Below are 13,873 nucleotides of genomic sequence, written 5' to 3'. Positions count from 1 at the left end.
ATGGACAAGACAACCCTGGAACCTCCTGTCATACTGGGAAAACAAGAAAGCTATCAATGGCTACTAGTGTCTTGTCTAAAGGACACAGGAAGTATCATAAAGGGGCTTCTCTGGTCAACTATGGAGAATTCTACGCATTTATTCTACCTGGCCTGTACGAACTGTACCTCAAGGTAACCAAGTAATTGATGAGGTAAAGTTTTTCTTTATACAAGTGTTTCAGCTAATTAAATTAAGAAAGAAAAAAAAAAAGGCTTTCGGTATCGCCATTTTGCCATCCCTACTGAATAATGGATTCAGGTAATGGTCATCAATGGTTGCTAAAACCAGTAAGTTGTAAGCTGATGGAGAGGGAGTTTTATAACGTATGAACGTTTTATTATGGGTGGACCAGAGAGGTAATAATAATGGATGGATGTTTTATAATGGGTGGACCAGAGTTTTATAATGGATGGACCAGAGAGGCAATACCTGAACCCACTGATACATATGCATATTGTAAAAAGAGAAAGAACCAAAGTGCTTCCTGATTCACTATATCAGGAAGTACACATCACCACCTACGAAGTATTTTTTTCCCCAAAATTAAACCTGATCCAATATAGGAAATGGAACACAGGAACATGTTAAACAACATTACCATGCACACTCAATCACATTCACAATTTGAGAAATTTTGTAGAACAAATAACCCAGTTTTGCCAACAAATAAATTGCAAGAAAAAAGGGTAAGCCTATAGATTAAAATATTTGTTACATATCAACAAAAGGCAATTTTGTAGGTTTTATTTTAATCCTGATTCTAACCAACCAACTGTATTTTTTTTTTTTTTTTTTTGAGACAGAGCTGCACTTTGTTACCTACGCTTGAGTGCAGCGGCACCACCTTGGCTCACTGCAACCTCCACCTCCCAGGCTCAAGAGATCCTCCCACTTCAGCCTCCCAAGTAGTTGGGACTACAGGCACACGCCACCATACCTGGCTAATTTTTGTATTTTTTGTAGAGATGGGGTTTTGTCATGTTGCCCAGGCTGGTCTCGAACTCCTGAGCTCAAGCAATCCACCCACCTTAGCCTCCCAAAGTGCTGAAATTACAGGTTTGAGCCACCATGCCCAGCCCTGTATTTTTAAAGAAGAAAAGAAAGGGAAAAAAAGGAGGAGAGACAAAAATCTGAGAAATGTAAATAGTGATTAGACAATGAATATCATTAATTCGTTATGACTGTTTTTCAAAAATCTCTAACTTTTGGAGATACCTGAAGTATTCAGGGATGAAATGATGGATCCATCCATACTCACTTCTTAGGTGATTTCATGCAGTCTTTTGGCTTTAAATCTCCCTCTACATGCTATTAACTCCCAAAGTTAAGTGCCTAGCTCAATCTTTCCCATCTTCAGACTTATATTCAATTGCCCAGATGACATCTCAAACAAGAGAACCCTTGATCCCCACTAGAACCTGCTCCTCACCCAGCACACTCTCTCAGCAGATAACATCACCTTCCATCTAGTTCCTCCAGCCCTAAACCGCAGCACTACCCTTGACCCTCTCCCTCTCATTCCCCACATTCAATCCATCAGAAGAGCCCAGTGGCCTTTCCTTTAAATGGATCTTCTTGCCATTTCCACTGTTACTACATAAACCCAAACAACCTTTATTGCCACGCTGAATTAATGCAATAATTGGTCTCTTTATTTCCATTTTGGACCAATAAAGTTAGAGCGTTTCTTTTAAAACACAAATCAGATCATGTCATTCTCCCAACAGCTTTCCAACCTCCTTCCATTGCCGTGCTACAAGGCCTTATCAAGACATTTTTCTATCCTCATGTTCTACAGTTTCTTCTTTTGCAAATGACCCTCCAACTCCAGAGACTTTCTTGCTGTTCCTAGAATACTACAACCTTCCATCTTAGGGCTTTTTCACTTGCTATCCTTCTATCTGGAAAGCTCTCTGCCTGGCTATTCATAGGGCCTGCCCTCTTGTTTTGTTGAAGTCTCTGCTCAAATATCTGCCTGTCAGAGACACTTCCCTGATCACAGTAACTGAAATAGCCCCACCTTGCTATCATTTCTCTAGCCCCTTATCCAGCTTTACTTTCTTTTCTTTACTTTTTTTTTTTTTTTTTTTTTTTTTTGAGATAGAGTCTTGCTCTGTCGCCCAGGCTGGAGTGCAGTGGCGCAATCTCGGCTCACTGCAAGCTCCGCCTCCCCGGTTCACACCATTCTCCTGCCTCAGCCTCCCAAGTAGCTGGGACTACAGGTGCCCGCCAGCCACCACGCCCAGCTAATTTTTTATATTTTTAGTAGAGACGGGGTTTCACCATGTTAGCCAGGATAGTCTTGATCTGGTGACCTTGTGATCTGCCCGCCTCAGCCTCCCAAAGTGCTGGGATTACAGGTGTGAGCCACTGCGCCTGGCCTTATCCAGCTTTATTTTCATTTGCACTTACCACTATCTGAAAGTATATATCTCCTTATTTACTTTCTGTTTCCCCAACTAGAATATAGGTTTCATGAACATAGAGGTATCTATTCTATTCACTGCTGTATTCTGAGTTGAGAGCAGCATTTAGTAGCCACTGAAATACATGCTAACAGAATCAACAAATATGACAATTAATTAGGAAATGATTTGTTCAGAGTCTATCTTCCCTGATAAACTCCATGAAGTGCCCATGGCTAGGCCTGGCACACAGTAGTACTCAATTGTCTTTCAAATAAACAGCCAGAGATGGCACACTGTATCTAATATCTCCACATATCTAAAATCTATCCATCTTTTAAGACCTACTCCAAAAAGCATGAATTTTCTATAATCCAAAATCCACCACATAATCTTCCCAGTTCCTCTCTATCCTCCTGCCTGCCCAGACAAGAATAATTTCTCTTTCTTTGAAGTCCCAAAGCAATTTATCTATACCTCTTCTTCAGCACTTCTCAATTTCTTTACTGCATTATTGTTATCTAGGCATATGATTTATCTCATCTGTTAAGACTATCTGCTCACTAACTGTATACTACACATTTTTGTGTATTCTATAGAAACTTGCATAATTAAGTACTCAATGTTTGATGAATAAATGGATAAACAGGTAGAAGAACAATAAAATGCACATAGTAGATTATCAAGATGCAAGAGCTTTCAGAAAAGTTTTCAAGCACAAGGGTATGTGGGTTAGAAACTAGTAGCCCAATTTTCCTTGACTCTGTAAAGTAAGAGGCTTTCTTCCATGGGGTTGTCTTTGAAAGAGTTAAGAAGTCTAAATCAGTGGTTCTCAACTTTGAAAGTTAGCAGATCCCTCTGAGAATCAGATGAAAGCTGTAAACCCTTCCTCCCGGGGAGCGGGGCGGGGGGGAAGGGCATATCTACAAGCAGATAGAAAATACTCTAGGCTGGGCGAGGTGGCTCATGCCTATTATCCCAGCACTTTGGAAGGCCAAGGCGGGTGGATGACCTGAGGTCAGGAGTTTGAGACCAGCCTGGCCAACATGGCAAAACCCCATCTCTATTAAAAATACAAAAATTAGCCAGATGTAGTGGCACGCGCCTGTAGTCCCAGCTACTCAGGAGGCTGAGGCAGGAGAATCACTTGAACCCGGGAGGTGGTGGTTGCAGTGAGCCAAGATTATGCCACTGCACTCCAGCCTGGGTGACAGAGCTAGACTCCATCTCAAAAAATAAAAAAAAAAAAAGAAAGAGAAAGAGAAAGAGAAAAAGAAAGAAAGAAAGAAAGAAAGAAAGAAAGAAAGAAAGAAAGAAAGAAAGAAAGAAAGAAAGAGAAAGAAAGAAAAAGAAAGAAAGAAAGAAAATACTCTATAACAAAGTACAGTAAAGGGCCTGGTGCTGAAGGATACCAGTTCAGGCTGGCCAATATTTTGGAGAACTCTGGGCTCAGCGTGAAAAAAGGGGCCCTGAGGATAGCAGATATATTACTGACATGGTTAACTGAGGACTTTTTAAATTCTTCTGGTTTCTCCATAGACCTGCAAGGGTGGGGCAGCTGACTGCACTTATTACCTGAGTGCATGCTGCAAATGGGATTATTTCTCCCTTGGAGATTTAGTCTAATCTCTGAAGGACAGGACAGAAACAGATTAGTGGGAGAATCAAATCACTGGATCATAAAGAACTTTTTCACTCTCAGTCTTTTTCCATGAACAGGGTGGGATGGGCATCACATAAAACCCTGCTGATAAAAATAAGCAGTGAAAATATAGACAGATATCAACTGAGGAGTATTGATAAGAAATAAATGGCATTTGCAGCCACTAAAAATGCTCTAGAAATAGCACATTACAATACTTATTTTAATCTATTTGACCTCACCCCCAACTCCCAAACACACACACACAGAAACTTGTGTCAGATACATCCTGAAGTTAGTTTTACCAAGCACAGATCTGTAATCTATCTACTGTTTTTTTTTTTTTTGGAAGGTAAAATTGGGCACTAAGAGTGGTATGGCAGTGTGCTGAAAGGAAAAAGTAAGGCTTTCTCCATCAGGCAGGATTCCCTATGCTCCGGAAGACAGAGAACAGCAACCTGGCCTCTACAGCAGGACCCATGGTGGGGCAGTGGGTAGGGGTGGAGGGCACCCAGAAAAACCATGAAGGATGGCTGAAACTGAGGGGCAGCTATGAGAGGCTCTCCACTTAAAGGAACAGAACTAAGCCCAGAATCCTGAGTTCAGAGACACAGGAGAAGAAGAGACACCCTGCTGGAAAAGTAGGCTGGGTATAGCATGATGTCAGCATTTTAAGGGGAACACAGGCCTTGTGTTGGCAGAGGAATGGCAAAATGCCTTGTAGCATCCTATTTCAAAGACAAGAACACTTGCCGGGTCAGAGACACTATGCAATACTGGGAGTGGGAAATAGCTAAGGAAGATGTAATCTAAAAAGCTGGCAGAATTTTAGAAAACGTGAGAAAATATGTTGGGAAATATGTTTTAAATATATATAAAAAACACTGCCACGAAAGAAAAATAATGATAAATTCAACTCTATTAAAACTTCTTTTTATTCTAAGATATAATAAAAGAAATTTTAAAAGGCAAGCCACAGAGGAGCTCATATCCAGAATATATAAAGAACTACTATAGATCAATAAAAGACAAATAATCCAATAGAAAAATGGAAGAAAAGGCTTAAAATACTTCACAAAATAGAGATGCCATGTAGCAATAAAGATGGAAAGGTGCTCTGCCTTATTAGTCAGAGAAATGCAAATTAAAGCCACAATGAGATATCACTACAAACCCACAGATGGGCAAAACCCAAAAATTCTGATAATACCAAATGCTAGCAAGAACACACAGCAGTACATATCTAGTGTGAATGTGAACTGGTCCAGCCCTTTGTAGAAGAGACCAGGACTATGAGGGAAAGCAGAAAGCAGATCCACTGGACTCCGGAGCCCTGGCTTATTCCACTACACTGCCCTGTCTCCTTCAGGATTCTGACAGGTACACATGAAAAAGAGGTATCTAAGCTGAGAAAGAACATATGGAAAAGCAAAGAGATAAGAAAATGCAAATTCTCCTTTAGGAATGGCAAATAATCGTGAAAATATACAACAAGAGGGAGAAAGGAAGATCAAGATGTCAAGAGCCCTAAATGCCAACTTAATGAGTTGGGACTTTACTGTCAAGTCAGTGAAGTGTGAAAGCAGAGTGGAGTGATTCAGAGCACAAACTCTAGGGACAACACAACTGGCTTGAGTCATGGCTCTGCACTTACCTGCAATGCCACCTTGGAAAAGCAGTTTCTTTGAATCTCAATTTCATTATCTTTAAAATGGGGACAAGAGTGTCTAATATCACAAAACTATTGTGGGAACTAAGATAATAAATGAAAAACTCTTAGCACAGGTGCCTGGAACATGGTAGGAGCTTAAGTAAAGTGAAGGATTTAATAATAACAGTACACTCAGTTGGGAGCCTTTACATCCTGAAGAACAACCTGAAGCAAGGGGAAGGGGAAGGAAGGGTCAAAAATAATTGCAAGGTCCTGAACTCAGACAATAGAAACAGAAAAATTAGGAGCAGTTACATATAAGGAAACAAATGTAGCCTTCAGATGACTCGAGAAGTGCAAGATGATGAGGAACATCCAGGTGGCAGCTGGAAATGTAGGTCTGGAGACTAGAAGTGTCTTGGAGGACAGAAATCAGATTAGAGGGTTACCCATAATATGGGTTGACAGTTAAGCAAAGGTGACTCAGGGCCAAGTGTCTACTGAAAAGAGAACCTGAGGATAAAGCCCTTGGGGAAGACTCAAATAATGGGGTTTCAACAAGGAATAGGAGTGAGCAAAGTAGAGAGAATTTAAACATAACTATGGATATGGGAATCACAAGAAACACTGAAGTTTTTATTATGAATCTTCACATTCTATTGCACAATCGTCCCTGTGCTTTTATACACATTAACTGATTGGATCCACCCAATGACCCTGGGTGATGCACAGGAGAATGAGTATCTCCATCTCACAGAGGAGGAAATGACTTCAGACATGTCACAATCTCACAGCTACTAAATGGCAGAGTTGTAATGTGCCTACAGGTCTAGGACTCTAAATGCAATTCTCTTAGTCCTGGACACTGAAGGAAATCATCCACAGGAGTTGAAAACAAAGAGATTCAGAGTGAACCTCACCCATACAGCTCCCATCCCTGACACACATTGCATGAAATGCCTCTGAACCTTTTGTTGGCCTAGCAAATAATCAAAATTCAAGACCCAGCTCTTCTGTGAATGTTTATCTGCTAACTTCTCTCTCTCTGCCTAAATGTTGTTGCCTTCCTCTGCAGCACTGCTAGTCCTTAGCCATTCTTTCACTATACGGTTCCTCGGCCAGGTGTGGTGGCTCAAGCTGTAATCTCAGCACTTTGGGAATCCGAGGCAGGCAGATCACTTGAGCTCAAGAATTCAAGACCAGCCTGGGCAACACGGCAAAACTCCGTCTCTACCAAAAATAAAAAATTAGCCAGGCATGGTGACATGCGCCTGTGGTCCCAGCTACTCGGGAGGCTGAGGAGGAAGGATCATTGGGACCCAGGAAGTCAAGGCTGCAATGAGCTGTGATTGTGTCACTGCTCACGTGGTGAACCTGGGTAACAGAGCGAGATCCTTTCTCAAAAGCAAAAAAAAAAAAAAAAAAAAGGTTCCTTGATGGGGCTATATTTCATTTATTTGTTTGCATATTTTTTCTTCCACTAGACAGTAAACCACATTACATTCATTTTTATATTTCTGAGAGTCTCCCATGATCCATGGCACATAGAATGTGCTCAGTAAATATTGATTCTCTTTTCTCTTCTTCTGAAGAGAATGAGAAAGACTTGAATCAGCTGTAAAAGAAGCATTTGCAAAAAATAGTGAGAAATAAATACTAAGCAGCAAGAGCCAGCTAAATTAAAATGCATGTCCATAAGATACTTCATGATACAGCAATGTCCTCCATTAACACAATGTGTCTGGAAACCAGGAAATAGTCAACAATTATTTCATCAAAATTGAAACTTATCACTGTAAGAGATACAAGATAAATAAATGCAAATGAATAAAATTGGGAGGCACTGAAATAAATTCATTTTTCTAAAATAATTCTATGCCTTTATATCTAAATTATAACTCCAGTTTTCAATATAAATGCAAATATAACCATAAAGTTAACTGCTCCCCAACTTGAAAAGAAGTGTCTTAGCAAGAAAAGTCACAAATGTCCAGATGAAGGAAAGAAAGCCTAGATCTGGCAACACCTCAGAGGGACATTTCCTGATCTTTCCAGAGTTGTGAAGTAGCAATCTGTCACTCAGAAAGCTGGAAATCTCGTCTACGCTGTGTAGTAAGTTAGATCAGTTGCAAACAGCAATTCAAACCTACCAGGATCTAGAGAAGAAACTGGTCACTTCAAAACTGTTTGATGTGCATTAGGTTTTTCTTCCCTTCCTTTTAAAATCAATATACCGTATTTCAAAATTGAAAAGCAAACAGAAAAAGTCCCTGTAACCAAAAAATTCTAATGGAATCCTAAATAAAAGTGCCAGGTAACCTTTCCATTATGCTGGCTCACCCGAACTCCAAGCATGAAACATTTCATAGCTTCCCTGTTTACTGATATAGAAAAAACCTTTCCTCGAGCTCAAAGACCATCATTAAAGAGTGCTGTTTTAAATCTTATAAAAAGAGCAAGTCCATATTAGCACTGGAAAATTCTGTTGCAGCAAATAAACCCTATTACATTCTCCTTAGGCAGGGGGTTGCTATCAACTTGGTATTATGGAGTTTTTCCAAAAGATTCACATATACCCATGTCCACAGACATTTTCCGCGGAAATGGCTTGAGAACTGTGTCCACTGACACTTTGTGCACAGGAAATAATGCCCTGTCCACCCCACTACCTGAGCCTCGGATTCAGAGCTAAAGCATGTCAGGAAGTCCAGCAAAGAGCTGCTTTTCATTTCTTGGCTTCCCTGGCTAGGCTTAAATGACAGCACTCACTTGCCACACATGTTTTAACAAACTTTCAAATCCCTTAATGGCACACTCGGGACAAAGGATAATACACTGTTCAGGAAACACCTTGAAGCCAAGAAAAGCAACTGATATTTCCACAGGGAGCTCTTGACAAGGCTTGCCAATAAGCTTTTCATTATAAAATTTAACTATGGGCACTATCATTTAAAAGACATATTTACAGACATTTTCAAGGGCGTATTTGTTGGGAACTTCGTTTGCTTAGGGTAGCTAATCCAAACGTACCTTTTATCTAGTTAACAGCCAAAGAATGAACAATCTCTCTCCATTCTTCCAATTACTCAGCCCAAAATCCCTGTGCAGTCCTTATCAATCAATCATTCGACTTCCTTCCCCACCCCACCTCAACCTCCCCTTCTCTCAAACACACAGCAACACACACACACACACACACACACACACACACACACCCCACATCCCAACTGTCAGCTGATCTTGTCAGCTCTACCTTCATTGCCACCATCCTGGTTTAGTCTCCATCATCTCCATCCTGGAAGTAAGCAATAGCCATGTAAGGGGTCTCCCTGCTTCTACCCTTGCCTCCTTTCAGTCTATTCCCAACATAACAGAGTGAGCCTATGAAACATAAGTGATATGTCAGTTCTCTACTCCTACCACTCTAAGCCTTACCACTTCAATCAGAGCCAGAAACAGAATCCTACCTATGATGTAAAGGCTCTACCTGACTGCACCCCCACCCCGGATCCCTCCGACCTCGTCTCTGACAATTCTCTACCTCAGCCCCTTTGCTATTCCTTGAGCACACTAGGAACGCACTGCCATTCCCCAAGATCTCCATAAGGACAGCTTCCTCTCTTCCTTTGTTTCTTCCCAAAGTCATGCTCTCAATGAGGTCTTCTTTCATCACCCTATTTAAAATCTCAATCCTTATCCCCCAAAATCATATTTCCTTTCCTTATTTTTTTTCTCTTCAGCACATATCACCATTGAGTATGCTACATGTAGTATTTTATTTAATATTATTATATCTTTCCCAGTGCAACACAAACTCCATGAAGGCCACTGCCACCTGAAACTCAAAACATCAAAAGCACTCTGGTCCTTCCCCTCAAAGCATTTCCCTTTCCTGTTCTTCTCTTTCTTCAAACACCACTACTACTTCTTCCAGGCCACTCAAGCTGAAAACCTTGCAACTACATTTGACTCTTCCCACTGCTTAACATACCAGTCACCAAATCCTTCACTTACCTTTTTACAAGCAATCTTAGAGCTCCACAAATTCCCTGGTCTTCTAAGTGACACCACCCTACAAATCTCCAGAAATAAAAATTCTGATTATCCTCTTATTCAAAAACATTCCCATGGGTTTCTCTTTCCTAGAGAAACTACTTATCAGCCAGGTACAGTGGCTCATGTCTATAATCCCAGCATTTTGGGAGGCCAAGGTGGAGGACTGCTTGAGCCCAGGAGTTTGAGACCAACCTGGGCAACATAGTGAGACCTCGTCTCTATTTTAAAAAGAGAAACTACTTCTCTATTCTTTGGCTTACAAGACCTTGACTTTCTCAATGTCCACTGACCTTTTTCAGTTATTTTAATCTTATCTGCCATTTCCTTCCATTATACACCATTCACAGACCACTGCAAACTCTGTCTTGGGTTAAATCCCACCAGCTCAATAACAGGTTTCTTTTTTTTTTTTCTTTTTTTTGAGACAGGGTCTCACTCTGTTGCCCAGGGTGGAGTGCACTAGTGTGATCACAGCTCACTGCAGCCTCGACCTCCCAGGCTCAAGCTATCCTCCCACCTCAGCCTCCCGAACAGCTGGGACTACCAGCATACACCAACATGCCTGGCTACCTTTTCTTTATTTTTTGTAGAGACAGGGTCACTATGTTGCCCAGGCTGGTCTAGAACTCCTGGGTTCTCAAGATCCTCCTGCCTCAGCCTCCCAAAGTGCTGGGATTATAGGCAAGAGCCACCACAGCGAGCCAAGAATAGGTCTCTAACAACTCAGAACAGCAGGATCTGTCTCTCTCTTTCTGATTCTTTGTGATACAGTACAGAAAACTATATTAACTCCCTTTAAAAATGGCTGAATTATGTTTTAACTCTTTTAAGAAAAAAAAGAAAAATAGATTTGGAGAAATAATCAGCACCCGTTAAGGAGCCCTCCTCTATGCAGACCTGGCTTGGACTGCAGGAGAAGAAGAGTTCAGAGATCTAAGGGTCAGGCTATAGGGCCTCTGGACACTGTTCCCATGTTTGAATCAGAATTAGAAGTGTTCTGTAACATGTGCCCTCTCTCCTCTCCTGCATGGCCACCACAATCAACTAAAGAACCATAACCTGGCTGGGCGCAGTGGCTCACGCCTGTAATTCCACACTTTGGGAGGCCGAGGGGGGCAGATCACAAGGTCAAGAGATCGAGACCATCCTGGCCAACATGGTGAAACCCTGTCTCTACTAAAAATACAAACGTTAGCTGGGTGTGGTGGTACGCGCCTGTAGTCCCAGCTACTAGGGAGGCTGAGACAGGAGAATCACTTGAACCCGGGAGGTGAAGGTTGCAGTGACTGGAGATGGCGCCACTGCACTCCAGCCTGGGCGACAGAGTGAGACTCCATCTCAAAAAAAAAAAAAAAGAACCATAACCTAACTCCGGTACAAGCAAGCCTCCTTACTGAATCACTAACGAAGAGTGAGAAGCAGGCATACTTCCCAGAGGAGACCCAGTTCATAGAACACAGCAGGATCCAACTAGAGTTCTCTCAGTAGCAAGGTGATAAATATTTTTGATGCCAGAAATAAACAGAGAGCATTAGGCAATTTGACAGAATATCACACCAAGTTCTAAAGCTCAGAAACAGGAAAAAAACAAACAAACAAAAAGGCAGGAAGTAAATCTGGGTAAACTAGAAAAGCAAGCCCTAGGAAAGAATTTTTCTTTTTCTTTTCTTTTCTTTGAGACGGAATCTCACCTCTGTTGCCCAGGCTGGCGTGCAGTGGCACGATCTTGGCTCACTGCAACCTCCGCCCCTACGAAAGAATTTCTAACAGAGATAGAAGGACTGGATTTCTACTTGAACAGAGTTCACAGGAGGAATAATTATTGAAATTTAGTGGATGAACATATATACATGTATATAGATATACCTTGTACATGGGTGGTTGCTTTTCTTTGACTCATACTCTTTACTGTATTTTGACTTAAGTCTCTAAAACATAGTCAATGTATTAGTACTGCCTCTATTAGCTACTAGAGACAGAAAAACCAACTTGAACTGGCTGTCATTTTTAAAGTAACTTATTAGCTTATGTAATTGAGACAAACTGATCAAATTGAGAGGCTCAGATGATATCTGTGGGACAGTGTGTGCACAGATGTGTGTATGTGCCTGTGTGTATGTGTGTATGTGTCTCAACTCAGCCTTCCTCAATATTGCTCCATTATCAGGACAGCTTCTCTCCTCATAGAGAAGGATGAAGGATGCAAGGATACCAGTAGCTCCAGAATTACATTCCATCCTCTTAGAGATCCCAGTAAAAAATTAAAACAAAAACAAAACCCGATAAGCTCTTAATGAGAGACTCTGCAAATAAGTCCCAAGGCTGGGTCTGCTGGGGTTGATTTGGGTCACATGCCCATTCCTCCATCTATCACCACAGCAAGGAAGTGAACTACACTGATTATCCCTGTATCTGAGGAATATGGCCAATTTTTCAACACTAGTAAAGAATAAAGTTGAAGCTTCCTTAGAAATGCTCAAGTAGGATCATTTTAAAAGACAAGTCTCTGTATTTTTATTCATAGAACACTACACTGATAAAACAATACACAGAAGCCTACTTCTATGGGTATAATTTCCAACTGCTTGCCAGAATGAAAGATTATTCCCCTTTTAGAATCACAACAATTTTTGATAGAGAATCAAAGCAGAGATATAACATCATTCAGGAAAGAAAATAACCTGTAAAGGTTAAACAACTTGTCAAATAAAGATCATCTATATTTAAAGATTTTATGTGTGGAGAGACTTAGCTGCAGTCCCTTACCTCAGATTTCATCTTAGAAACACACTTAAATATCCTGGACCTCACTAAAAAATAAGCTCAGGCCAGACTCGGTGGCTCACGCATGTAATCCCAGCACTTTGGGAGGCTGAGGCGGGCAGATCACTTGAGGCCAGGAGATTGAGACTAGCCTGGCCAATATGGTGAAACCCTGTCTCTAATACAAATATAAAAATTAGTCAGGCATGGTGGTACATGCCTGTAATCCCAGGTACTCGAGTGGCTGAGGCATGAGAATCACCTGAACCCGGGAGGCAAAGGTTGCAGTGAGCCGAGATCGCCACTGCACTCCAGCCTGACTGACAGAGTGAGACTGTCTCAAGAAAAAAATTAAAATTAAAATTAAAAATAAGCTCAATTTGCAGACCATTTCAGAAAATCAAACAGTATATAATAAAAAAAATTTCAGGACAAGGGAGATTCAGGACAGTGATATAACAGCCATAATTCCGGAGCCTGAGGATATTCCAAAGGATCAATTTAGTATTAAGAAATTAACCACAATTATCTGAAAGATCAGCCAACACTTTAATTACCACCCTCATATAAATATATATACATATAACTTTTTTTTTTTGAGGCAGGGTCTCACCCTGTCACCCAGGCTGGAGTGCAGTGACACAATCATGGCTCATTGTACCCCCAACCTCCCAGGTACAAGTGATCCTCCCGCCTCAGCTTCCCAAGTAGCTGGGACTATTGCATGCCATCACGCCCAGCTAACTTTTGTATTTTTTTTTTTTTTTTTTAGTAGCAATAGGGTCTCACTTTGCTGCCTAGGCTGGTCTTGGACTCCTGGGCTCAAGCGATCCTCCTGCCTTGGCCTCCCAAAGTGCTGGGCTTACAGTTGTGAGCCACTGCACTTGGCCCACCCTCATATATTGATGACAAAAACTGAAACCACATTTCTTTGATCAGTGGTTTCTGGCATACTGTAAAGTACATATTGCTAGATTTTAAAAATCTAAAATATATAGATTTCACGTATAGCCAACTCTAAAAATCTACTTATGTCTATAATCATCCTTGCCTTCTTCTGCAGTGCAAATACAGATGAAGTGATTCACTTCTTTTGCAAAAGACCAATCCCAGCACATGCTCTGAATACTACTTCTTGCTCTGAGGGTTTTGCTCCTTGGATAATCCTTCTCTCCCCATCTCATTGCCTCTCCCTCTCTATGGTAAATCTTTCTCATATCAGCACACAAATGTTCTCTATTACCTCCCATCTTTGAAAACATTCCCATATTAATATTAGACACAGTGATTCAAGAAAAAAGGCATTACCAGGGA

The 13,873-nt window shown here is 41.1% G+C and overlaps 1 protein-coding gene across 5 annotated transcripts in view, besides 1 other annotated feature; it reads right to left on the bottom strand.

Annotated features, from left to right (window-relative positions):
- Positions 1-13,873, bottom strand: part of DIS3L2 (DIS3 like 3'-5' exoribonuclease 2) — a 382,638-nt gene that overhangs the window by 262,612 nt on the left and 106,153 nt on the right. The gene's annotated exons all lie outside the window — the stretch shown is intronic.
- Positions 6,073-6,273: a silencer, noted in NCBI's record as "peak4085 fragment used in MPRA reporter construct". NCBI's record gives its function as "represses an SCP1 promoter by STARR-seq MPRAs in K562 erythroleukemia cells {active_cell/tissue: K562}" and the evidence as "EXISTENCE:reporter gene assay evidence [ECO:0000049][PMID:32103011]".

This window comes from Homo sapiens, chromosome 2 (assembly GCF_000001405.40).
Source record: "Homo sapiens chromosome 2, GRCh38.p14 Primary Assembly".
NCBI lineage: Eukaryota > Metazoa > Chordata > Mammalia > Primates > Hominidae > Homo > Homo sapiens.
This window is presented reverse-complemented; position numbering and strand designations above follow the sequence as displayed.